Source organism: Homo sapiens, chromosome 11, assembly GCF_000001405.40.
Source record: "Homo sapiens chromosome 11, GRCh38.p14 Primary Assembly".
Taxonomy (NCBI): Eukaryota; Metazoa; Chordata; class Mammalia; order Primates; family Hominidae; genus Homo; species Homo sapiens.
In genome coordinates, this window is record NC_000011.10 from 30,018,125 (window position 1) to 30,046,093 (window position 27,969).

General features: G+C 39.5%; 2 long non-coding RNA genes across 8 annotated transcripts in view, besides 2 other annotated features; one reads left to right on the forward strand and one right to left on the reverse strand.

Moving 5' to 3' along the window:
* LOC107984321 (uncharacterized) lies at positions 2,440–27,286 on the forward strand. The gene is made up of 3 exons (XR_001748159.2): positions 2,440–2,470; positions 3,862–3,963; positions 27,155–27,286. It is a non-coding gene; the product is annotated as an uncharacterized LOC107984321 (long non-coding RNA).
* Positions 6,968–7,537: an enhancer, noted in NCBI's record as "OCT4-NANOG hESC enhancer chr11:30046639-30047208 (GRCh37/hg19 assembly coordinates)". NCBI's record gives its function as "activates a minimal SCP1, AML or CMV promoter by ChIP-STARR-seq in naive and primed H9 embryonic stem cells {active_cell/tissue: H9 hESC(naive and primed)}" and the evidence as "EXISTENCE:reporter gene assay evidence [ECO:0000049][PMID:30033119]".
* Positions 7,538–8,105: an enhancer, noted in NCBI's record as "OCT4-NANOG hESC enhancer chr11:30047209-30047776 (GRCh37/hg19 assembly coordinates)". NCBI's record gives its function as "activates a minimal SCP1, AML or CMV promoter by ChIP-STARR-seq in naive and primed H9 embryonic stem cells {active_cell/tissue: H9 hESC(naive and primed)}" and the evidence as "EXISTENCE:reporter gene assay evidence [ECO:0000049][PMID:30033119]".
* Positions 24,846–27,969, reverse strand: part of ARL14EP-DT (ARL14EP divergent transcript) — a 279,977-nt gene continuing 276,853 nt past the window's right edge. For all 7 annotated transcript variants that reach the window (NR_187437.1, NR_187431.1, NR_187433.1 and 4 more), the window contains one exon: positions 24,846–26,331. This is a non-coding gene — a long non-coding RNA (ARL14EP divergent transcript). The remainder of the gene's footprint in view (positions 26,332–27,969) is intronic.

Below are 27,969 nucleotides of genomic sequence, written 5' to 3' on the forward strand. Positions count from 1 at the left end.
ATCTCCACCTCTGGGAAAGATTTTTTGCATTAAATTAAGGAAAAGGTCACTATGAGTTGAAAGTTAAACCTAGCCGCCGCGCATGCCAGGGCCTCGGGCAAGTCCCTGGTCCCCTAAAGCCGAAACTTCTGGTTAATAGCTTCTTGAGCTTTTCATGCTAATTGGCTGGAGTTACAGTTTGAGGAAGGGTCTCTCCTTGTTTCTTGTTTATTTCTTCGGACCACATCAAAACAGGAAAGTAGACAGTTTGCCTGTCTCAGGCTTGCCAGAATCAACCGGGCGAGAGGTTTGGCTCCCGGGAGGACTCTATCTTAGTGATCTCTCCCACTGCCCACCTCCATTTAAAAAAAAAAAAAAAAAAAAAAGGGTTTTGCTGTCCATCTCCACCCCACTCCCACACACGCGAGCGCGTGCGCACACACACAAACAAACACACACACACACACACACACACACACAAATAACCAGAAGCCCACGTGGCGACGGGGTCTCCCTAGACACCTCTCCCAGCTCGCCCGATGGACCAAGCAGGCAGTGGCAGCGCTATGCCCCGGACTGCTGGAGCAAATCCGACCTTGGGCTGGTTGGTTGGCGCCAGGACTGTCACTGTCGTCCTCGGGGCGGCAGCTTTGTTCAAGGGCTCTATTGGGCCTCCTCCTTTTGTGATGCTCAATTAATTATTAAGGGAAATATTCCCGAGCTGAATTATAGATATGCCTTGCACTCACTCACCTAACCGTTGCGGGCTCGGAAAAGGACACCTGGAGGGCTGCTTTTTGTTGCTGTTTGATTTTTCTTTTATCTTTTCAAATAACCGGACACACACACACAAAATCGAATTGTAATCAGTGTGAAAGAAAAAGAAGAAATGAAACCTGGAGTGCACCCTGGTTTTTCCAACGTCTTTCAGCTAGTGCAGCTTGAAATTTTGGCATGAATAAGTTTAACTGTAACCCCCTGGCCTCAACCCTGGTGGAGCTGAGAGAAAGGTATCTTCATGCTGGCTCTAGAGACGTTCTTTGCCTCAATTTATTCCCTACTGCAGTTCATTCGAAGAGCAGCAAGACCGGGTTTCTCTAAAAGTGAGAACGATCATGCTCACTCGCCTCAAACCCTCTCTGTACCTCCACAATGTGATATCACTGTGCAGTTTCATAAGTACCAGAAGCAAATAACTGGTAATATTTATTGTTGGCTCATTAGAAGGATATTTCTTGGGATAGTAAAAAGCAGGACTGGGACCTGTTTCCCAAAAGCAGTTTATGAGATCAATCCGGTACAGCTATGCAGTGCTTTCAGGGAGATGAAAAGTGAGATGGAATGATGTACTAGAGATGATAGTTGTATTGAAGCTTGGATATTTTAATTGAGTCGTGTTTAAACTTTATGAATTATGCTTCCCTTTTGCTGTTTGTTCCTATCCCAGATAATTTTAAAGTTTTCAATGCCTGAGGACTTTAATATTTGCATTTCTTAGGTGTTGGTAATCTGAATTACTAAAATACGACAGGAATGCTGCTGAGGAAAAACTCTACTCTCAGGAGGACTTGCGCAAGGCAGGTAAGATTAACTGAGTGTCTGCCTCCTACCTGGCTCTGTGCTAAGTTCTTTGAATGTATATTATGTAATTTTATTTGCATAACTAAATGCTTTTTTATGTGATAAGTACTATTATAACCACTATTTTATAGAAAAGGAAATGAAGGCTTACAATGATTAGCTAACTTGCCCAAAGGTTATATAGCTAATTATGTAGCAGAACAAGGCCTTACATATCTGACTCTGCAGTGTAGACTGACCCCGTGCTAGTGATGTGGTCTATGCCCATTTGTTCATACAAGCTAGTGGCTGTCACAGATGCATATACAGATTATGAAGCAAGGGGATTTGTGTTATGATGGAGGTATGAGAATGTTGCTCCTTGGTGCAAAGAGTAAAGCAGCATCTAGTGTGGAGGCGGTAAGCAAGAATTCCCAAGGAGAGAGAGCACTGTCTGAAAAATCATAAGAGTTGGAGTGGCCGCCATGGAGAATGCACAGGCACATAGTGCTGGGATGGAACAGAAGCAACTAACTGGAGCTAGAGATAGGTTAGGACCAACTGGGAAGAGCATGCCCCCTCCCAGCCTTCTCCCACCACATGCACACACACACCCCTACCTCTTTGCCCATTTAAATAATTAATTCATAAAGCAAACAAGAAACATTCTATTTCTCTCCTTGAAATTATCCTAGGAATTTCTAGGAACCCATAAACAGTAGCAAAAAGATTCTTTGATTGAGACCAATAAAAATCTACCTTGTCTTAGTCCCCAAACCTTGTTTACTTTTTATTTTCTTTTGAAATGGGTTCTCATTCTGTCACCCAGGCTGGAGTGCACTGGCATGATCACACCTCACAGCAACCTCAAACTAACTGCTGGGCTCAAGTGATCCTCCTGCCTCAGGCTCCAGAGTAGCTGGGACTACAGGTATGTGTCACCATGCCCAGTTATTTTTATTTATTTATTTATTTTTAGTTTTTGTAGAGACAGGGTCTCATTATGCTGACCAGGTTGGTCTCAAACTGGCCTCAAGTTCTCCTCCTGCCTCAGCCTCCCAAAGTGCCCACCACGATTACAGGTATGAGCCACTGTGCCCAGCCCCTCTTTTCTATAAAGAGGAAAAAATTATTTTCTTGCCTTTCTTAGTCATCAACTAGTCAAAATTCTTTAAGCTCTCCACCACCAAATACACCTATTACCACAAAGAATGTATCCCTGGCTTTGAATTCTCTCAGTGGTGGTACAAATGTTCCAGATCACACCGTGAAGCCTTTGCTTATATAGAAAGTGGCAGAGGCCAACAGATCGTCTCTGTACAAAGCACGATAGGAAGCCCTGTGGGATACAAGCTAGGCCCATTATAAATGTTTTTGTTCTCTTTGAGGACTGTGGTCCACAGTGAATTGCAATGTTCTGTTTACTCCTCTATCTCCCCAAACATGCCTGTGATACTTCACTGAGAACAGACATTATATCCTGAGCAACTAGCGTTGTACTTGACCCAGAGTAGAATGTGAATGAATAATGGAAGAGGCTTCCCTTTGCCAAGAAAGTTCAGTGAATGTGTTGTGAGAGAACTAGAAGATTGCTTTTTCACCTGCTCACCCCAGCCTCTCAACTATCTATCTCACTTTTAAAGTTCTGAAGTGATGGGCGTGGGGGTGGTGAGAAGGCCTTGGAGATTTGGTTCCATGCTCCCATATCCAAATTTATGGATGGGGATATTTTGATCAGCCCATCATTCCTTATAAAATGTGAGTCACTCAGCTAGTTTTTTCTTGGGTTTTTCAATGACTGTTCACCACCACTTCCTAATTTATCTTACGCATATAGGCACTGGTCAAAACTTAAGATATCAGAAGAGCATATTTGTTTCTTACTATAATTAGTGTTTTATTCCATTTCAGCTGCTATAATAACAAAATAACATAAACTGAGTAGCTTATAAACAATATAAATTGATTTCTTACAGAGCTGGAGGCTGGGAAGTATAAAATTAAGATATCAGCAGATTCAATGTCTGGTGAGAGCCCATTTCCTGGTTCATAGATGGCGCCTTCTTTCTAGGTCCTTACAAAGTAGAAAAGGCAAGGCAGCTCTCTGAGGCCTCTTTTATAAGGGCACTAATCCCATTCGTAAGGGCCCAGCCCTCATGGTTTCATCACCTCACCATAAATCCTATATCCTAATAGCATCACTTTGGGGGTTAGGATTTCAACAGAAGAATTTAGAGAGAACACATTCAGACCATAGCAGCAACAAAACATCAACCCTGGAGAGAAAGACTGACTACTCATTCTCTGACTCTCTGATTGCAGCACGGTGCCAGGCACAATGGTGATTAAGACAGCTGCTCCCTGTTCTGTGTGGACACTTGTGGTCTAGACGGCAAGAGACAGACAAGTCAACACACTTCGGTGGTAAGACGCTGATAGAAGTCACACAAGGGACAGAAAGAAGTGGCACCTAATTGAAGTTATAGAGAAAGGTTCTCAGGGCAGAAGGAGTCCCATGGCAAAAGCTCACTGAACAACAATAGCATGTGTGAAAATAAAGAAAGATAAGCTAAGGATCCACTATGAAATGGGAAAGGGAAGCAGTGAGGGAGGACTCTGATATGCCATGCTCAAAGTAGGATCCATGAAAAAACCCTGCATGATAGGATTCTCAATCCTTTCCACCTTTACACACAGGACAGATGTAGTTCATATGCACTACACACACCCTTGAGCAAACCCAGATTAGCAACTGCAGCATTCACTAAATAGACTGAGTTGCAGGCATTTCCGGGCCTCCTAGCTGCAATGATATCACTTTCTCCTTCATTTATGAATGCATCTCAGAGGCCAAGTGGGTGAAATTGAATTGGCATAACCTTAAATAATCTCAGATTTCGCTTTCTAAATGCAAGTCTATTTAAAAATGCCCCTCTTTAATTGAAGTAACTCGGTTTTTGCAACACAACCCATATTAACACTGATACTGTGGTGCATCACTGGTGTTGAGATCCACTCTATCAGATAGAATCATCCTTTAGCTCTTTGTTTTCCTTATATGTGCTTAGGAAATAGGGTGGTTGTGGAGATTCAGTGAAAGAGAAGTACCAATCCTGGCGCAGACAGAAATTATCCATAGCCTCATTTGCTGGCACCAATCAGGAGCAAACTTGGGGCAGAGGTGAATCAAGACAAGGTTTGGGTATGGGATGGTGTTTCAGTTCTACAGATACTACCACCGCCATGCCTTTTGCAGTAACGTGTAATTGTTCATCTCAAAGAGTTTTCCCCAGATGTCTAAACGTGATCCTTTTTATAAAAACTAAAGATCATGGTATATCCCCTGCAAAAAAAAAATGTGTTTCAAAATCATTGGCAGCCCCTTTAAATATAGTCAATGACATTAAGTCAGGCTGGCGTCTTCTCTTGAGAGTTGACTTCTCCCCTTCCACTCCCATTTTGATTTTGATCAACACCTTTCACCTACTGCCCAAGGACAGCCATCACCAAAGCTCACAGACAGCCTCTGTTCTCCAGCATAAGAATGTTTACATGCATTTCTACAGGCTGCCAGCATCCGGACTACTTCATCAGACCAGCATTCCTTTTGATTTGTTTAAGTGTTAGAAAAAGCTTGTCTAGCACATGCTTTTCAAAACAAGGACCATACTTGTAGGAAGGATATTCTCATGTGGAAGAAATTCCCACAGGGTACAGATCAGTTGGGAAATCTACCCAAAATTATTTCTGTAACTTGTTCACTTTTTTCCACTCCTGGCTAAAGATAGAAACAAAATTTTAGGGATTAGCCAACTGATATATTTTAAAACAAAAATTTAAAACAAACAAAGCTGAGAGTATGGGTGTCATAAGGATGCTAACTTTCAGTTTCTCATCATTGACTCTGGAGAACAGCATGTCACACATCAGATTTTATGTACACTTGAAGCTCCTCCAATTTATTTCTCAGTTAGTCTCACATATCAGCTCTTGTTCTGAATAAACACAGAGATCTTAGGCTGTCATCTCCAAAGGCTATATGGCGGTACAAACACTATCCATTTCCTTTGGATGGTTTTTAGCAAAGAGACCTTTTCTTCATTCATGTATAGGTTTAAACTTGAAAGTAAATTTATAACTTTAAATTTGTAAGTTTACAGTGAAATTTTAACTATTCATAGCAACCCTTGAAAAGAGCTATGTAAACATTTGACCAAAGCAATTGCTCTTGAATTGCTTGAGGGCCTGGAGCAAAGACAAGATCCTGGGGCTATAGGTTTTTCTCTCCAGCCTCTTGGCTGCAGAACCTCTGGCTAAGACAACTCACCTTTGTAGGCCTAAATTTTCTTGTCTGTAAAAATGAGTACTATAGCATCAGTCCTATTTCACAAAATCATGAATATGGATCATATGAAAAAGTGTATGGGAAAGAATTCTACAACCATAAAAATACAACATAAATATAGGACATCATTTTAAAACAATAACCATCTGTCATGGACTGAAGACTTGTGATCACACCAAAATCCATATGTTGAAGCCCTAATTCCCAATGTTATGGTATTTGGAGATGGGGCTTTTGGGAGGTAATAGCGATTGGATGAGGTCCTGAGGGTGAAGCCCTCATGATGGGACTAGTATCCTTATAAGAAGAGATACCATTTCAGGAAGCACACAGAAGTCTCATGTGAGTATACAGCAAGACAGCAGCCACCTCGAAACCTAAAGAGGCCTTGAAATGAAACCTAGTATATCAGCACCTTGATCTTGTACTTCTCAGCCCCTAGAACTATAAGAACATAGATTTCTGTTGTTTAAGCCACTCAGACTGTGGTACTGGTTGAGTAGACCAAATCCAAAAATCCAAAATCCAAAATGCTTCATAATTCAAAACTTTTTGAACACTCACATGGCACTCAAAGGATGTACTCATTGGAACATTTCAGATTTTGGATTTTCAGATTAGCAATGTTCAACCAGTAAATGTAATGCAGATATTCCAAAAACAAAAAAATTCCAAAATTGGAAACACCGCTAGTCTCAAGCATTTCAGATAAAGGATAATCACCGTGTATTTTGTCTTTGCAGCCTGAGTTAAGACCCCATCAGAACTGCGTAATAGATATATAGACTGTTTTTACTAGCAAACTTTGCAGTGGTATCTGAAACTCAAGAACGTGTTGGCTATAAATGGTTCTTACAGGTTCTCTTTAAAGGAATTGATAGAAAGGTTTGCAATCAACCCACCAGTGTGATAACATGATACTAAAATTTTATTAGGCCTTCATAATCTAAAACTTACTACTCAACCAACTTGGAATTTTTGGCAGTTTTTCTTGTAAAATGGCTGTAGATTACATTAGCGTGAACATTCAGAATGTTAACAGTATTCATTTTTCACTCAGTCGACAAAATTTTACTGAGCATCTACTTTGTCTCAGGCATTAGTCTAAGCACTAAGCAGTAGTGATAAGTGAAGACAAGGTCCTTACTCTCAAACAAACAAGAAATTGCAGACAACAATAAATGTTACCCAGAAAATAATACACAATAATGGAGTGTCAGGGAAGGGAGTTTCAATTCTATTTGGGTAGCTAAGGAAAGTCTCACTGAGATAACAGTTGAGCTGAGGACTATATGACAAGAAAGCTTGTTCTGTGATGATCTGGGGCAGAAAAAAAAGAAAAACCATTAGGCAGAGTGATTCAAGTTAGTAAAGAGTAAAGGCTTTCCCAAAAGGAGCCCGGTGAATACAAAGCATCTACTGCACAATTTAATTCTACCACACCACTACCTAATACACCCCATCTCTCCTTCCTTCACTTAGTACCTAATTCTAGGCTGCGGGGAAATGGATAGGAGGGCACCCCAAGGAGGTTAGAGAGATAGTCCTGGGGTTAGAGGGGAGTGTTCACAGTTCTGCATCTGAATACCACTCACATTTACTTAAGAGGCAGTGATGATTACTAGCCCCAGGTGTCCTGATTTGTAAATGTGGTTAAGGATTCCTTTCACTGGTCCGGTGCTGCCTGTTCTCTGAAAGGCAAGATGGGCTGCGTTCTGTTATAGCTTCTGTTTTATTAAAGGTTCTTTTGGTAGCAAGGAATGGAAAGCAATTCAAGCTAGTGTATATACAACAGTGGTGAAGACTCGGATTTTACAGGAGTCCAGAAAAGAGCTGAGGAACCAAGATTCAAAGACAAAAGTAGATGATTAGCCGGGCTTCTCTCACTCTCTCTCACCATCCCCCACCCCACTCCCTGTCTCTACCTCTCTCTCAATTCTGAGTCTCTGCTTTTCCAATATCTCCATGCATGTGGGCCCCTAATGGCTGACTTTGTCATTGTTACTTGATCTTTCAGGTCAACAGTCCTTCACAAACTTTCAACTTTCCAAAAGAAGGAATCTAATTGATTTAGCTGTTTGAACAAGGCCACTCAAATCACAGTTTACCAGCTTAAGTGGTCAAGTCACCTGTGTCCCAAATCAAAGTCACTCATCTGGGTCTGTGGGTGGGATGAAATTTTCTGAACAGAAGCCAACACAAGTCCAGTGCATTAATTCTGACAGCAACAAGCCCAGTTGCTTCAAAACCTTGGGAAACCCTTGGTACTCGTACTTAGACCCTCCCATGGTCATATCTAGTGTGCTTAAAATTTACACATTCCATATAAGAGTTTATGTAAACTATTTCACAACTGAGTTACAGCAAACTAGTATACAATGTTACAATGAAATTATGTGCGGTTTCTTTTTTCTGTAATTCAGAGCTAAGAATTTCATTTTCAGAACATAAACATTTTATAGCCTCATTAAAAACTTATAGGCACAAGGCATGGCCCAGAAACCAACCATTATCCCTGCAAAAAGAAGTAGCTCGTTGATTACTGTCAAATACTTAAATGTATTGGCTTTTAAAGAATTGTTAGGCCGGGCGCGGTGGCTCACGCCTGTAATCCCAGCACTTTGGGAGGCCGAGGCGGGCGGATCACGAGGTCAGGAGATCGAGACCATCCCGGCTAAAACGGTGAAACCCCGTCTCTACTAAAAATACAAAAAAATTAGCCGGGCGTAGTGGCGGGCGCCTGTAGTCCCAGCTACTTGGGAGGCTGAGGCAGGAGAATGGCGTGAACCCGGGAGGCGGAGCTTGCAGTGAGCCGAGATCCCGCCACTGCACTCCAGCCTGGGTGACAGAGCGAGACTCCGTCTCAAAAAAAAAAAAAAAAAAAAAAAGAATTGTTAGATCATCCAATAGTGTGATAAACTCCCTATGAAAAGTATCCTCACTCACTTGTTTGTGTGTGACTTATATGCTGATGTATGTGAATGCAGCCTGTGTTTATGTTGTCTTCTATGTTGTGTGTAAGCTATACTAGGAAAGCTCTGCAAATGCACCTAGAGGCTACTGTGAACGATGCACCCAAAAATAAAATCTAAAAATAACTAGGTAATAAATAACCATTTGCAGATGGGAATTGTTCTTGCAGTTTTCTAAACAACAGCAGGTTTCTTTAAGACATTATGATATTTTCCTGATATTTCATTAGCTGTACTAAATCTTAAAAGGCAGATAATTTGAATAATGCATGATAAAACTAACTGGATCCTAATTAAAGATATTTTAAAGACAATATCGAACCATTGCTTTTATCTTAGAATAATTTCATGTATGCATATTCTTCTGTGTTAGTTAAAAGCACCAAAAGAGTGATTTCTGAGAGGCAGAGCATTCCAGCAATTATTTTAGAATCTTGCATTGACAAAAATGTTAAGGGCCACTCTTCAAAGTAATATCTTGATTACTTGTTCTATTTGTTCAGGTTCATTCAGAGAGAAAAAAATTCTTCAAAAGGAACAAACTAAAGCTAAAAAGTTCTCTATGGCCTTCTTTATTGCAGAAATATGTATGTGAGGAAGTTTCAGAATTTGCAGTGAGATACTTACTGAAAAATGTAAGGAGTATTAAGGATTCTTAGCAGGGTGACATACTAACCTTTACAAGACAATTAAAATAATATTAATTAAGATTTAAGATCAATATGCACAAAATTAGCTTGATATGTGATCATCTGGAAGGGTTTTTCTATCCAGGACTCATGCAAAGTATTTGGTGCAATCATTCAAGGGAGCTCCAGTTTATATGGTCTTCTGCCACCACTAATGTGTATGTACTTAGTGGCCCGGCCATGTGCTTCAAATTTAGCTCAACAGAGTCCCAGTACTAATAATATATTCAATAACATATTTAATTTTCTGCTCAAGATAGTGCTCATCAAATGGTGGACTGTGGCTCTGGTTTTAAGCTAAAAGAACAGTATAGTATACTCTTCTCTCCAACTCTAAGGAAGTTATTGAATATTTCATTACTAAGTTGAATGTGATATATGAAAACATAATGATGTGACTAATTTATGTTGATATATAAATTATAGGTTAAGAGCACAGACTCTAAAATCAGAAAAAAAATCCATCAATTACTAGCTATATGACCTTGATTAAGTTTTCTGAAGTTTTCTAACTGTAGTGTTCTCATCTGCAAGATGATAATGATGATGCCTGCTTTCTAAGGTTGTTGTGAGAATTGGATAAGTTACATGAAAGACAAAATGCAAAGGAGAATTGAGGAAATTATTTTATTTAGCCTACTACAACATGAAGAGCATCCATTAATGAGGATAGTCTCAAAGAAAAGGAAGGAAGCTTGTGTTTTATGGAGGCAGATACATAAGGTGTTCACCCTGGAATCCTATGGGTGTTATAGGACAGATGATACGAAGAAGGATGGAGGTGGGCGTTAACTTCAAATATGGTGGAACAGGGTGGTCCTTTGCGGCTTTTCTTCTTATGGCTCTTTTCTGGGAACACAGAGCTCAGATAAACTCCAACATTGTCAGTCTTTTCCTTTTGTTCAAGACAAATGAATGTCATTCTTCACTCAACATTCAACAACTCAGAAGCAATAATAAGCATCCTAGATGGGGTGAGGCAGGGTTAAAGAAATAGTCTCAATGGTTCTTATTGGCATTGTTACTATAAAACTAGTTGAACCGGTCAGTTGTTTTAGAGGTCTGAGGTGAGGCATCTTAAAAGAGTGATGCCTAAACTAGAAAAGAGAAAATATTAGTAAAACAGGTGGCACTGAAAAGTCAGTTATTGAACCTAAGAGTAATCAGTGCAGCAGATTCTAAGAGGTTGCTGGAGGAAATCTTATGGTTATACAATACCATTGGTTAAGTGTCTTGAAGCTCTTCAGGTAGAATGTGCATGTTCTTGGTGATACTGTCCACAGCCTTGCTTACTTTTCATAGTCTATGTGAAAATCCATGGTTTTCTTAAATAATCAAGGATATAATTAAGTCAGCATAAACCATAGGTTAGTCTGTTAAGGCCTAAACAGAATCTTTGCTATTGAGGTAGATTACACAGATGCTAAGGAATAACCATTTATTTTCTCTTATGAAGAGCAGACCAGTAATTTTAAAAATGCTACTTTAATGGAGAAAACTAAGTGCTAGTTTTCCAACAGTATAATCTTTGATAGAATATTCTTTTTAAAAATGTTATAAATAAATCAAACTTTAGCCAGCTTTGGCTATGACAAATAAAATTCCTTTTCCAAAAGTCTTTTATACCTTTTTATAGCCATAGATATCCTTACAGCACAACTCTTCAAAGTGGTGAAAATGAACATGTTCATTAACAAACCCAAAAATATATAGCTTGTTTATAGCATATAAAAGTAAAAATAAAAAGCATACAAACTTAAAACTAAAATAAGTAATTGTTTTGATATGTTACTTAGAAATAATCTAGGAATCTAACAAGTAGCCCATAAGTAACTCAATTTATTATCAATTCAAGGTTTTAAGCTACCTAAAGATTTTGGAAATTATCTTCAAGCTAGCATACTAAAAAGTATAATTGCTAATGAAATAAAGTTTTATTCAATTGGTAAACACAAATAATTATTCAATTTGGTAAATACAAATTTATAATTTTATGACTTAAACACTAAGTAGAAGAAATATTAGCATAGTTACCAGTAAACCTGTAAAAGTTTAGGGAAAACATAACCAAGTAAAATAAAAATCTACATGAGTATTATAGTTAACATTGATAAATTACATAAAACATGGCTGTTTTATTAAACTAAAAATATTAATGTCTCATTGGTGAAGCTTTGCCTAAATTATATGAGCTTGAAACCTTAAAACTTTTCTGAGTTAGTTTTTAGAAGGACACTTTTAAAATTTAGCACACTGAAAGTCTTAGAATTTCTGGCAATTTTAGGAATATTCCATTTATGAGCAATAATTTACCTCTAAGCCAATTAGAACAGAACTTTAAGAGATTTTATAATCAAATTTGGTAAAACCATCTAGAAGCAGGAAAATATTGTACTCTCATACAATGAGAGGTAAAAGCCTTTCTGAAACACAGACATAAACATATAAAGAGAGAGAAAAAGTTTATAGCCTCAACTCTAAAATTCAGTCATGGGTCAAGCATAAACACAGAAATACAAAACTCACTAGTCCATGTTAAAGAGCTATTCTCATCTCAGTGGGTACAAGCTCTTGATTGATTTGTCCTCAAAATTGACATGTAGGCAAACACAAAAGACTAACACACTAGAGTTTCTAACATCTTTCACCCAACAAAGACAAGATCTCTATAAATCATTCATTTCTTTACAGAGATCAGCAAATGCTCAGACCACAAAATCAAAATAAGTGGGCACCAGAAATCAAGTGAATATCCAAAAAAGAAACAAAATCAAATCATTACCCTGCTACTGGTAGACAAGAGCCCACATCACAGGACCAAAAGTCAGAATCATCACTGGGTCCTGAGTCCCAGATCACCAGTCAGGAGTGGACCACAAAGGGCTCCAAGACGCCTTACCTAAGAAGAGTAAGCAGGTACTCCCAAGACAAGGGCTGATCATATCCTGGTTACGGCACTAAACTGAGAAAGACAAGTGTACCAAAGAAGTGATTTTATTTAGACTACTGCAGTAGAGAGAATATTCATTAATGAGGAACATCTCAAAGAAAAGGAAGGGGGTCTGGGGTTTTTTAAAGACAGATAAGCAAGAGAGCCATCCAGGAGTTTTTGGAGTAATGAGGAAGGATGGAGGTGGGTCTTAGCTTGAAATACACCAGCTCAGGGTGATCCTTATAGGGTAGGAGGATTTCTTCACCATTGCTGCTTTCTGGGAGCAAAGGACTCAAAATTCAACATTGTCACATTGTCAGCTATATAAAATGTTTGTTCATAAAGAACAAAGTATTGGCAGTTGTTAGAGAGGGCAGCACACTTCGCAGTACACTTTTTATATTCTAACTGCCTAGGAGCAAATCATGACTATTGTTCACTAGCTATATGACTTTGGGAAAATATACAATCTCTGATTCTTATTTTTCTTACCAGTTCATTGGGCATTAAAACAGTAGCTTCACCATAAAGCTGTTGTGAAGATCAAATGCAGTAAAGATGAAAAATTCTGAGACCATAAGCTGGTGAGCTGTCATCAGCAATACTATTATCATCACCAGTTAGAACTAAATGAATGCCATAAGAAAGGAGATAATTGTTCTATTCCTAAAATCTATTTGACAAAGTAAACATTTTTATAACACAATGACTCACTTTTTTTATTTGCCAGGTTAGTTTGGTAATTTTAATAGAATTTTTGATAACTCTTAACTAAACATTTTGATCACTTCATTAAGATGGGGGAATTTTTAATTTGTTTCTTCAAAAGAAATCTTTTTATTGCAGAGTAAATGGAAGATAAAATAATTAATTGAATATTAACAAAATAAAATTCAGAGAAAACTAAACGGTATTTCTCTGTGTTAACATCCATAATTCTGGTTTTTTCTACCCTATCTGATGCAAACTACCAAGACAACTGTCTGAGGATGGTTTGAAAAAATATATATTTTAAATCTTATCATCTTCTGTTTCTTTGGATGAGTGAAATAAATGGAAAGGAAATCTCACCAGATCAGAGTTTATGTGGACATGGTACTGTGAGAGCAAAGGTTTTGCTATTGAAGAATAGCAAATAAAACAGGCCTATAAATTCCTTAACAATCATGTTAATTATCTTCCTCTACCTGGACTTTAGAGTGCTTTGTCACAGGTTAAGCTACACCTTTTTCAGTTCTCAGTCTTCCACTGATGCTAGTAATTCTCTCTAATTAATGACCTTTACAATATCAAGGAGGAAAATAATTTATGCTGAATTTCTTGACTGTCTACCTGTGACGAAGAAAAGTTTACAAAAGATGGGAGGTGGGCAAAGGTAAGTTGAAGAAGCAGTTTTTGTCCTTTCAAGCTGTCTTTCAGCCATTTACTTCTGCATTGCGAAGAGGTATTACCTGCTTTCTAAAGGAAATCAAACAAATAGTCTTTGGCTAAGGAATCATTTAAATCATCCCCTACATTAAAATATAAGACAAGATAAAACTTGTATTCATTCCAAACACTCAGCGAAACAGGCAATTGTGGACAGCAGAGGTATAGCCTTAAGAAGCTTCAAATCTACCCAAATGGTTAGGAAGACAAGGCTAATCCTTATGTGATATAGCAGCAAATATTTAAGACAATGTATACATTTGTGTGGTCTCTAAAATTAGATGGCCTTAGCTCAACTCTGATTCCGTCACTTGTAGGCCATGGGCAAATAACAACTATAAACTTCAGCTTCTTCATCTAAAGAGTAAGAATAATGGAAGCATATACATTGCAGAATCGCTTTGAGGATTAAAAGAGAAAATTTAAGGACAGTGTTGGTCCTTGAACGACACAGGTTTGAACTGCGTGCGTCCACTTATATGGTGATGTTTTCCAATAATAGGACGAGTTTGTTTGCTTCTCCTGCCTCCCCTTCCACCTCCTCCACCTCTTCTGCCACTGCCACCCCTAAGACAGCAAGACTAACCCCTTTTCTTTCTCCTCTTCCTCAGCCTACTCAGTGTGAAGAGGATGAGGATGAGGATGAAAATCTTTATGATAATCCGGTTCCACTTAAGGAAGAGTAAATATATTTTCTCTTTTTTATGATTTTCTTAATAATATTTTTTTTGCTTACTTTCTTGTAGGTATATAATATTTAATACATATAACATTCCAAATATATATTGACTGTCTATATTATTGGTAAGGCTTCTGGTCAACAGTGGGCAATTAGTAGTTAAGTTTTGGGGGAGTCAAAATTATATACATGTTTTCCACTGTGTGGGGGTCGGCACCCCTAAGCCCTGTATTGTTTGAAGGTCAACTGTAGTTAGCTCAGCTCCTGGCCCATGTTAAGTACTCTAATGGAAGTCAACCACAGTAGTAATGGTGGTAGTAAAATACTATATGAATAATATATATTATCAAGAATGTATACATAGGCTACATGCATAACCTATAATTACTATATCTGAGAATATATAATTAAATAGAATTTATGGTGGTACAGATACAAATATTATAGGAAGTCAAAGGAAGGAAGAACAATGGGGATATCAATGGACAGATTAATGCTTCTCGTACTATGACAAGTAAGCTCTTGATAAATGTTAGGTGCTTTCATTATCACCAGTATTGATCATAGTAGACTTCATAGAGGAGGTTAAACTTTAGCTGAACCTTAAGGAATGAGTGATATAAAGATTTCAAAAGAGTCTCTCATGTGACAACAGCAGCAAGAGGTAAGTCACTGATGTGGGAAAGTAACATGACAGAGTCCACTAAGGTAAAAGCAGAACTACTATTCAATCCTGCAATCCCATTACTGGGTATGTACCCAGAGGAATATAAATCATTCTACCATAAAGACACATGCATGTGCATGTTCATTGCAACACTATTCACAACAGCAAAGACATGGAATCAACCTAAATGCCCATCAATGACAGATTGGATAAAGAAAATGTGGTACATAAACACCATGGAATCCTATGCAGTCATAAAAAAGAATGAGATCATGTCTTTTGCAGGAACATGGATGGACCTGGAGGCCATTATCTTCAGCAAACTAATGCAGGAACAGAAAAGCAAACACCACATGTTCTCACTTATAAGTGGGAGCTAAATGATAAGAACTTATGAACACAAAGAAGGAAACAACAGACACTGGGGCCTACCTGAGTATGGAGGGTAGAAGGAGGAAGAAGGGCAGAAAAGATAAATATTGGGTACTGGGCTTAATTCCTGGGTGATGAAATAATCTGTACAACAAACCCCTGTGACATGAGTTTACCTATGTAACAAACCTTAACGTGTACCCCTGAACGTAAAGTAAAAGTTAAAAAAATAAAATAAAATAAATTTAGAGAAGAAAGAAAACATAAAGACAGCCAGTGGAGATGTGCTCTGATTTTCCTACCAACAAGTACTTATTATCATCCTATTATTAACAGCTACTCTTCTTCATAGTGTTTATTTGATAGTTACTATGTGTAGTGGACTAAATGATGATACCACCCTCCCCCAAGTGATATGTCCATGTCCTAATCCTCTGAATCTGTGAATATTACTTTATTTGGTAAAATGCTCTTTGCAGATGTAATCAAAGATCTCAAGATGAGGATCTCCACATTCTGGATCACCTGGGTGGCCTCTAATGCCAATGAAATGTATCCTTATAAGAGAAACACAGCAAAGACACACACAGAGAAGGGCCTCTGTTGGGAGGGGCTGCCACAAAGGTCTCTAACATGCCCTGGAGACATTTTTCCCCTTGTCTTGGGGATTAACATTCTGCTCCTTGTTTCTTATGCAAATTTCTGCAGCCAGCTTGAATTTCTCCTCAGAAAATTAGATTTTCTTTTCTATCACATTGTCAGGCTGCAAATTTTCTGAACTTTTATGCTCTATTTCCCTTTTAAAACTGAATGCCATTAACAGCACCCAAGTCAACTCTTGAATGCTTTGCTGCTTAGAAATTTCTTCCGCCACATACCCTAAGTCATGTCTCTCAAGTTCAAAGTTCCACAAATCTCTAGGGCAGGGGCAAAATGCCACCAGTCTCTTTGCTAAAACATAACAAGAGTCACCATTGCTCCAGTTCCCAACAAATTCCTCATCTCCATCAGAGACCACCTCAGCCTGGATTTCATTGTCCATATCATTATCAGCAGTTTTATCAAAGCCATTCAACAAGTCGCTAGGGAGTTCCAAACTTTCCCACATTTTCCTGTCTTTTTCTGAGCCCTCCAAACTGTTCCAACCTCTGCCTGTTACTCAGTTCCAAAGTTACTTCCACATTTTCAGGTATCCTTTCAGTAGTACCCCACTCCTGGTACCAGTTTACTGTTTTAGTCCGTTTTCACACTGCTGATAAAGACATACCAGAGACTGGAAATTTACAAAGGAAAGAGGTTTAATAGAGAACTCACAGTTCCATGTGGCTGGGGAGGCCTAACAATCGTGGCAGAAGGTGAAAGGCACATCTCACATGGCGGCAGACAAGAGAAGAGGGCTTGCGCAGAGAAACTCTGTGTTTTAAAAACCATCAGATCTCATAAGACTTATTCACTATCATGAGAACAGCATGAGAAAACCTGCCCCCATGATTCAATTACCTCCCACTGGGTCCCTCCCACAAAACATGGAAATTCAAGATGAGGTTTGGGTAGGAGCACAGCCAAACCATATCAAGGTGGAAGGCCCAGATGAAAGGATAAGGAACTTAGTATTGTGGAGAGGCTAGAGAACACTGGGGAACATGAGGAAGAACAGCTTTGATGTGGCATTGGGGGCTGACTAAGATGATGGGTTAGCCTGAGCCTGAGTGGGCTTCCTAAAAACCAGAGTCAGAAGAAACTGGCTATAGGTGGACCAAATCAAAAAGGCTCAAATAACAGGAAAAGTCTAGACTCCCCCGCCTTGTTGCATCAGCTTGCTATAGACTTGATGCTTTTGTCTCCCTAAAATTATTTTAATGAAACCTAACCCCCAGTGTGAAAGCATTTGGAGATGGGGCTTTTAAAAGGTAATTAGATTATAAGGGCAGAGGCCCCATAAATAGGATTAACATCCTTATTAAAAAGACCTGGAGACGTCCCTTCCTCCTACTGCCATATGAGGATGCAGCACAAATATGGTGGGTGTCTATAAATGAAGAAATGGGCTCTCACCAAAACCTGATCCTGCTGACACCCTGATCTCAAACTTCCAGCCTTCAGAACTGTGAGAAATAAAGGTCTGTTATTTATAAGTTATTCAGTTTATAATATTTTGTTATAGCAGCCTGAGATGACTAAGACACAGCCAGTTTACTGGCTTTTTGATAAATAATAGATAACTGATTATTTTAAAACTCATGTGGGTATGGGAGCAATAGGGAGAGAAAAGAGGAGATAAAATACACACGGAAGTTGGCACATGCTCTCCAGGGTTTTGCAGAAACCAGGTGGTAGCCCCAAAGGAAAATCAATAACCACTGCTTCTATTTGTGGCTCTGTTTCCACAGAAACATGTTTGTGGGTGAATTTGGAAGGCAGATTTACAATGCCAAAACAATCAGTCCAAAAAGAAGAAAAAATTCCAGTCAAATAAACTTTTTTACTATAGTAACAAATGTTTTTTACTAACATTTTTTCCATTTAATTAACTGAATTTAAAGAGGTGTTATCAAATAAGCTCAGCCATGCTCCTGTAAGCACAATAATATTGAAATGTGGGGGCAATATTAGCTTCAGTGTAAATGGAATATGTGGAAGGTTGTTGGAAAATACTTGGCTGGCCGGTCAAGTCGAACCTATTTTCAAGAATAACAAATATAGTCAAACTTAACTTTAGAGAGCTGTGATAGTGAGGTTACCACCACTAATTAAAAGGAAAAAAAACACTTTTGATTTCTGTCTTCCTCTATCTTAAATGTCATGCCATACATTTTTTAGGCCCTCCATTAAAATGTTCTTGAAATTATCTGTCAGAATGAGTATTTATATATGACTCCCTACTACAGGCACAATAAAATTCTTTCTAAGACCCATTCATTAGTAAAATGAACAACAGTATCAAACTTAGAATACTGAGTGTTTAGAACTTTAATCATTAAAAAATATAAATTTGTGATTGTTCATTTTTAAATACCAGTCAATCTAAGTCTCTAAAGGCAATGTTATCCTCATATATTAGAAGGGTGCTTTAGCATTGAGTCTCAGATCCGTATCTTCCTAAATTCTCCTAACTTGTGAGTTTCCCTAGACTCTGGAGTGGTGATGAGCCTGCAAGAGTTGTAGAGAAGAGAGCAGGAGGATGAAGGTAACATCATTGGCCTCAGCTGTGACATCTGTGAGAGATGTGAAGAAAAATGAAATTGAGATCTAGGTAGATTTTTATATTTACAAGGAAATCTCATTCTTGTCATAACACTCCAAAATCTCCATAAATTATATAGATTAATCAAGTTTATTTTGTTTCTCACTTCTTAAATCAGATCCTCCCCTTTTCCTTATATTCTACTATCTTATCTGAAATGAGCATTGCTAGTTTCTTACCTACCATCCTTTACTCCCTTCTCCCTTAGAAAAAACATCCCAAATTGAATGGCCATCATTTCTATTGACATTACTCTAAATGCCTCCTTAAAGCACCTTTCTGCTTCTACTCTAATTCCTTAAGTTCTTTCTCCTCACCTCACATCAGAGTTACCTTTGTAAACTTTAATCATATCAATTCCACATTTAGATGAATTCCCCTGGTATTGGGATCAACACCCAACCTCCTGACAGAGCCTCACAAGGTTCTAAGTAACCAGACAATGCCTCAGTCTCTGACTTCAGCAATCTTCACTCTTACCGGAGACCAATCACAATGGCCTTTCAGCTCTTTAAATACACCAAGCTCTATCTACCCTCAGAACCCCTGTCCTTACTGTTCCTTCTGCCTGGTAGGCCTGACCTAAGTTCTTTCCATGACTGGCTCCTCCTTATCATTCAAGTCACAGGCAGATGTCACAGGCCTTTCCTGCCTACCTAATCTAAAGGACTCCCACTGCCCAGTCACCATCACAGCATCCTGTTTAACGACATTCATGCCATTGATCATTATGTGGAATGCTCATATTATTTGTTTAGTTTGTCTAAACTAGAAGCTTTTTAAGGGCAGAAGGGCTTTCACTACTCTACTTCCAGAGCTTAGTAAGTGTTCAGTAAATATTTGCTAGATAAAAGGAGGGAAAGGAGGAGAGAAGGAAAGAGACAAGAGAAGGAGGGAGGGAAGGAAGAAAGGAGGGGATTTAGTTAGGAACTTCAGTTGCTCTCCATCTATAAGTAATCAATATACATTATAAGATTTAGCAAGCCCACTAGCTGAGGAATACGAAACTACATTAGTATCTTAAAAATATAATGAAAGAGACACCTGAAATAAAATTTTAAAAGCACGTAATTTTAAACTCAGCGATGACATAACCTATTTCTAATGATTGCACTGCTTTCCTTCAATGTTGTACCCTACCTGGAAAAAATTGTTCATAAGTAAAGTAACTGGATGGTTAAAAAGTAGGATTAGACAATAGATGCTGGGTTACTCAGCACAGTTCTTGCACAAAGAATCTGACAAATCTCAACAACTATTAAAGTGTTTTAGATTATATCTTGTTGTCAACAGATTTTCTGAATAGGCACTTGGCTCTCCCATTTACAATAAGAGCAAAAGAATGAGTCACCTAGCATTGGGTCCATATGCAATGTTTGATACTATGTTCTCTGAACCTTGGCAGTATATTTGCTTCCCCTTAATAATGATAGTAGCACTTTCTCCAGCTGTCAGCCAGCCATGCCTGCTAGGCCTTTATTTCCTTTCTATAAAGCTCTCTTTTATTGCAGCTTCACATATGCATCTGATTTGGTCTCTGCTCTGTGTGGCTGCCAATGTGTGGAATCTGTTTGATCTTGACGAAACTATAGGAGTAGGGATAGAAATTTAACAGAATCTCACAGACATTCTTTTTCCCCTTCAATTGGGTTGGGTACCTTGAAGATAAAAAATAAAGAAGCATTATTTTCAGGCTGATTCCTAGAGAAAACTTCATGTGAACTCAATAGCTAATAAAAGGCACATAATGGACTATAAAACCTTTCAATTATAAATATGTATTTAACAAAAGTTTAGAATAAAATGTAACAAAAAAAGCAGGTGCCAACAGAGGCAGAAAATAAATTACCTAATCACTCCTAAACTCTTAGAGCAAGCCACTTATCTACTCCTTGCAATATGAAATTTCCATGGAGAAAAGATACAAAGATTCACATTAAACCAAAGTTCTGAACCTGATTGAACTTTAGTTTTACAGTTTTATATTTTCCTGATATTTTTGTGGTCTATGTTTATAAGCTTAGGAAAGCCTATCATGAAATGAGGCATAAGCAAGAAAAAAAGTTTCCATCATACACTAAAAGCCAAAAAGAGAAAAGGTGATGGAATAGGGAAGTGGAATTTAGAGGAAGGTTAATTCTCTTGGAATTCAAAAAGCACAATATTTCATTGTGATAAATAGCTCTTTCCCCAATAAATGGGGTGTAATGGTAAATCTTTCAGTTGTGGGCAAAAGTTACAAATGAATCATGCTGTTATAGGGGAGCCTATCTGGCAATTCATACTTAGATTCAAAGAGCATTTACTATATGCCAAGTGCTCTGCCTGGCAGTGCCTTATGTTACCTTACTTATTTTTCACAATTACGGTATAGAGAAAGTATCATGGTCAGCTTTTGTCATATGAGAAAACGGATGCTCAGTGAACTGAATTCACTTGTGCTTAGTTGCACAGCTTAAAATGGCAGCTCTGGAAGTCACACCTATATTTTCTAGATTCCAAGTTATTTGACAGACAAGCTCAGAACTGTCAGAAGAGAGAAATGAATCCTGGAAAGCGGAAAGTCAGGATGTATGAATGAAGAAAAGGTTTATAGATAGAAGGAAGGGTATGATGCCTGTAATCCCAGTACTTTGGGAGGCCGAGGCAGGAGGATCACTTGAGGTCAGGAGTTCGAGACCAGCCTGGCCAACAGGACGAAACCCTGCCTCTATTAAAAATACAAAAATTACCCAGGCATGATGGTGCATGCCTGTAGTCCCAGCTACTAGGGAAGCTGAGGCACGAGAATTGCTTGAGCCTGGGAGGTGGAGGTTGCAGTGAGCTGAGATCGCACCACTGCACTCCAGCCTGGGTAACAGAGTGATGCTCCATCTCAAAAAAAAAAAAAAAAAAAGGAAGAAGAAGAAGAAAGAAGAAGAAGAAGAAAGAAGAAGAAGAGGAAGAAGAAGAAGGAAGAAGGAAGAAGAAGGAGAAGGAGAAGGAGGAGAAGGAGGAGAAGGAGAAGGAGAAGGAGGAGAAGGAGAAGGAGAAAGAGAAAGAGACGAAGAGGAGGAGGAGGAGGAAAAAGAAGAAGAAGAGGAAGAAGAAGAAGAAGAAGAAGAAGAAGAAGAAGAAGAAGAAGAAGAAGAAGAAGAAGAAGAAGAAGAAGAAGAAAGGCTATGAGGTTTAAGATAAAATTCTTAGAGAAACAGGGAAAGGATTAAAGGGTTTCCGACTCCTGAGAAAAACTGTAAACACCATTTATAATCTATCTTGCTCTGCTGCCTCAGCTTATCATCCTGCCCCTAAATGTGGGTAATCCCCAAGGCTCTGCCCTCATCTCCTTTTGTTACTTTCTTCCTCAGGGATATCATCGTCTCTGTAGGTCACCCATGTAAAGACAACTCCCAGATGATACAACTAGCCTTGATCTCCCATGGGACCTCCAATCACATCATGTCCAAATGCTGGACATTTTCACCAGCATATTATAACCTCCTCTCAAACTCAATACTTGTAAAAGAAGGAATGCCTCTTCTCCCACTTTGGCACTCAAACTTCTCTTCCTCCTGCTACTCCTATTTCTATCTACGACAAATCATCCATCCAAGCCCCTGGATACAAAATTCAACAGCATCATTTTTTTTCCCTTTTTCTTAACCTTCACATTTTTCACTGGGTTGTATTGATTCTATCTTTTAAATCTCTTACATTTATACCTTTATTCTCTTATAGATATTAAAGAATAATGTTTTTTAAAACTATATAATTAAGACTCATGTAATTAAACAAACACATGTTAAATATTGTAACTCTTTAATTAACAAAGAACCAGTAAGCTATTCCAATCAAAGAACCACCCATATATAAGCAATAAGAAATGCTAACATGAATTTATAAATAGATGTAAATAATTTATAAGTAGATATAAAACTGGTTTACTACATCAGTAGCGGGGGAAGGAAAATGAATTGTTCCTACAGCAGACAGATCTCATTTGCATGTCTATAAAGAAGATTAATTTGTATTGCAATCAGTTAACCACAACTTACATTGTAAATCCTTGGAAAACAACTCACAGGCAATGAAAGAGAAAAACCTCATAGATTCAAATAAACTGGCAGAGTGCTCACTAGAAAAGACCTACTTTATCAGCTGAAAGCACCTAGTAATCTTTTTCGTTCATTTCAAGGCCTTTCGCACATTTTCTTGGTTCAGGTGTTAGTCCTTCATTTTGGACTTTAGAACGTGACATGTGGATTATTACAATAGCTTCTAACTCTTCTCCCTGCATTTATCCTCTGAATGAGTTGGCCTTAACACTCAGCTTGACTAAACTCTAGACAAGTTGTGTGTGTGTGTGTGTGTGCACGCGCGCGCGTGTTTTTGTGTGTGTTTGAGATGTAGTCTCACTCTGTCGCCGAGGCTGGGGTGCAGTGGCGCGATCTCGCCTCACTGCAACCTCCGCCTCCCTGATTCAAGCAATTCTCCTGCCTCAGCCTCCCAAGGAGCTGAGACTACAGGCATGCACACCATGCCCTGCTAATTTTTGTATTTTTAGTAGAGACGGGGTTTTACCATGTTGGCCAGTCTGGTCTCAAACTTCAGACTTCAAGTGACCTGCCCGCCACGGCATCCCAAAGTGCTGGGATTACAGGCATGAGCCACTACGCCCAGCCTAGACAAGTTTATTTCTAACTTTAGGCCTCTGTCCTCCCTTTTCTTAGAGCATTTACTTCAGAAAACTTGCACTTGTAAATTCTTTCTCTGCCTTTTAGATGTGGTAAAAGAAAAACTGCAGCTGAATTAAATTTAAAGGAGTTTAATTGAGCAATGAATGATTTGTGAATTGGGCAGCCCCCAGAATCACAGCTGATTCAGAGAGACTCCAGGGATGCCTCATGATTAGAACAAATTTATAGACAAAAAAAGAAAAGTGATGTACAGAAATCAGAAGTGAGGTTCAGAAACAGCTGGATTGGTTACAGGTTGGCATTTACCTTATTTGAACACAGTTTGAACACTCCACGCTGTATGAGTGGTTGACGTATGGCTGCTGGGATTGGCCAAGGCCCAGCCACTGTTACAGGCACACACTCCCAAGTTAGGTTCTCAATCTTGTCTACCCATTAAGTTAGGTTGCATTTCATTCACGTGGACTCAAATATAGAAATAAGGAGTCCTTCTCTGGCCATATTTAGTTTGCTTTAACAGATATAAATCCTGTATAACCCAGGAATGTCTGAAGGACCTGGGATGGGAAGGACCTGGGAGCCATCCTTTTGAAATGTACTCCTCAAGAAAGATAGCACTCTTATAGTCCGGTCTCTGTGGAGGGATGGGAGCCTAGCTTTTAAAACAGCCAGTTAGCAATTACAGATATTCTCATCACATTGATCAACCTCTCCACTAACTTCCTTCAGTATTTTTCTACTAGTGCATCTCAGTGCTTAAAAACTCTCCCACTTTTCATTCGGCAAAGTTGAATTCAATTTCTCTCCTTATTGTGGTAATCTTGAATAAGGTCTTCCTGTTTAACTGGTCTGATGCAATTATTATTATTATTATTTTGAGACAGGGTCTTACTCTGTCACCCAGGCTGGAATGCAGTGGCCTTTCAGTGGTATTTCATCTAACCTCAGCCCCGAACTCCCCGGTTTAAACAATCCTCCCACCTCAGCATCCCAAGTAGCTGGGACTACAGGTGCACACCATCATGCTTTGCTAATTTTTTAATAAATGTTTTTGTAGAGACAAGGTCTCACCATATTGCCCAGGCTAGCCTTGAACTCCTGGGTTCAAACAATCCCACCTCAGCCACAAAAAGTACTCAGACAGGTGTGAGCCAGCATACCCGGCCTGAGACATTTTTTCTTTTACATCTCTACCTTGTCCAATCTATCACAAATGCCAAATATTCCTAAGACACCATTCAACTCATAGCCTTCTCTCCTACCAAAATTGTTACCCACCATCACCACCAAAAGCTCTTGGGCTATAAATAAGACAAATGTGTTTTATTTGAGCTCTATAACATTAAATAAATTAATCTAGTATTTTCAAGTCAGTAGATTTTACATAAATTTTTTTCTTGAACAATCACAAGAACTGTCAACCCTACAAAGGTTGCTTTCGAGTCTGGCTATAATCAGCTAAAACTGCATAGTAGAACTCACTGTTAGCAAAGGTTGGTTTTTCACATCCCCCATTCCTATGTCCATGGGCCCTGTTGCACTTACACCTGGACCTTTTATTTACTCATAACTTGCCTGGCCCCTGTGAGCATTTTCTGTTTTTAAATCCTCCTAGTCAATGGGATAAAATCCAAACTCCTAATGTTTCTCTACCAAGTTACTTATATTGACAGCTTTGCCTCCTACTTTGTTTTGCCACTTCAGACTCTTCCCTGCTGCCCTGGAATAGGTTTTTCTTGGCTTATACTATTCTTTCTATCTGGAATGTACTTGTTTCTCTTGTTTTATTACCCTCATCTTCAGCCATCAAATCCTATTTGAGATTTAGAACCCAGCTCATGTGTTGCCTCTTTCAGAAAGTCTCCCCTAACTATCCCAGCTAGACCTAGTCAGTAGTAATTATTGTCCATCCAACTCACAGCAGCCTTTATCAAGCCCTGAAGAACAGAACTGTTCTTATTTTTCTGTACACCTACTCCATTCTCCACACTCCCAGCTTTCTAAAGCACAGCAGTTGAAGATGGTTAAATTGAATTGTGTCTGTTCTTTCCATCTAAATTGTTTTAGCCTAAAATTAGGGTCAAATATCAAACTTTCTCTTAATCTCTATAGTCTCTGGCCCAAGTAAGTGAACAAATAGGATACTTCCAAAAACTTAACTTAGAAAAGGTCAAAGATCTGTTGAAGGGATTTTAGGCTCAGAATCCATAGGAGCAAGCAACTAATTGGGCTCGTCAGGTAGTTACAGATGAATAACTTTAGCATGTACCAGATTTCTTCCCTTTGTATAAACTGTAATAGTAACTTTTCCTGCTCCAAAAGTAGGATGATTTAAACAAACATATATATGAATATAGAAAGAAAAACCAGAAGCAGGCCACAGTCTGAAATCTGAAGAAGGCAATTCTCTTTAATCCCTTTGGTTGTGAAGTGCAGATCCCTGGCAATGGAACCCTTCCACAGGGGAACATCTTAAGTATTTTATTTGTTTGTTTTCAGTGGCTTATAGCAACACAAAGTTATTATCCCATGGTTTCTGTGGGCCTAGAACCCAGTGCAGATTAGCAGGATGCTTTGTCTCTGGGTCTCTGACAAGGCTACATTCAAGGGTCAACTGGGGATGGATTCATTTCTAAGCTCACTCCAGTAGTTGGCAAGATTCATTTTTCTCACACAAGTTTTGAACTGAAGGCTTCAGTTCCTCAGGAGCTATTGGCCACAATAGGTCTCATCTAAGAAGTGTCCACTCAAAGACAATTCCATTTCAGCACAGGTACTCTCAGACCATCTGAAAGACAAAAAGATCAAGTCACAGCAAGGTCAAATCACTTGTTCAAGGGCACATAAAGGTTCAAGGAGTCAGGGCTGAAATTAGACTCCTGACTGCCCAAGGATGCGGTAGGAGAGAGGTGGCTGCAGGGAGACTGTTGGGCACCAGGGAATTTACAACCAATTCTATAAGTGGAGCCCAAATAGGAAACAGGAAAAAAAATGACTCACATAGATATACATATCCAAAATGGGACAACAGGAAATACATTACTGTAAGGAAAATGGCTGTGCTTTGGTCAAGGAATAGGCCGAAGTGGGCATCCTGGCCAGAGTGACTCAGAGAGTTTGCAGTGCATGTGCACAATTCCATGTATAATGTAAACACAGCTGTGTAGCCATAACATGGGAAGGCCATCCCTTGGCTATGCCACTATTGTCTATAAAAGGTATAATTGCCCTGCTGACACTATATAGGCATGTGCCCAGAGAAAGAGAGAGAGCCAGAGCTGTTCACCTTTGCAGACAGAAAGGAGGGAGCCAGGACACAGCTCAGCTTGCTGGTGCCCAGAGAAAGAGAAAGAGAGTCAGATACGTCCATCTTTACAGATGGACGGAGGGCAGCCAGGACACAGCTCAGCTCACTCATGCCCAGAGAGAGAAAGAGTTAAGCTGCTTACCCTGAAGGCAAGGGAGAGCCAGCCTCATAGTTGTGTGTGGGAGCCGCCAGATTAAGCAGCTGAGACAGGACAGACAGAGCTGTTGATGAGAGCTGCTGCTGAATAAAGCCATATTTCACCTAACTATGCCCCCTGCACCCCCCGCCACGAGTGTTCTTTCAGATTTCTTCTCATCCACCCACTCCCTTCGGACCTCAACATGACATTGGTGTAGTCGTGAACCTGACAATTGGTGACGTCAACAGGATAAGGTGAGTGGGTCTTCAGCTCCCAGTCTGCTATGTGACTGCAGCATGGGCTGTGGTACCTGGTGGCAGTGGTGCTGCTTGGAAGAGCCCCAGTGGAAACATGAGAGGCAGTGGACAGGTCTCCAGCAAGTGTGGAGAAGGCACTGAAGCAGCTGGAAGCTCACAGCACCAAGGAGCACACCTTCGCCAGCAGAGTCAGATGGGCGTTTCTGACTGCACTACGCGAAGTACATGCTCAGTCCCTGTGGGAGATAGCACAGGTAAGGGACCTCCAGGCACAAGTTGAGCACCCAGGGACCCAAATGCACAGCTTGGAGCAAAACCTTGGGGTGAAGGACCTCCAGGTGCAAGCAGGGTGCTTAGAGACCCAGATAAACAGCCTGGAGTCAGAAACAGTTGTCAGCGAGACTTTGAGCCCAACCTCCAGGCGGGACACTCCCACTCAGTCTGATGCTGTTGCTGAGGAGGAAGAGGAGGCTCCTCTGCTATGGGCTCATCCTGTGATCCGTCAGAAGGTAGAAGATGAGCAGCTGATGGGACCCCAGGGGAGAGCCCAGGGACTCCCCCACAGTGGTGAAACACACCTCTTATAGTGCTTATACCCCCACTGAGTTGCAGGAGTTAGGTAAGCAATGCAGGCAGCACCCAGGGGAGCGCCTCCCAGCCTAGTTACTCCATCTTTGGGATGAGGTTTTCTTGCTACACTTCTGAGATGGAGAAGCTGGCTTC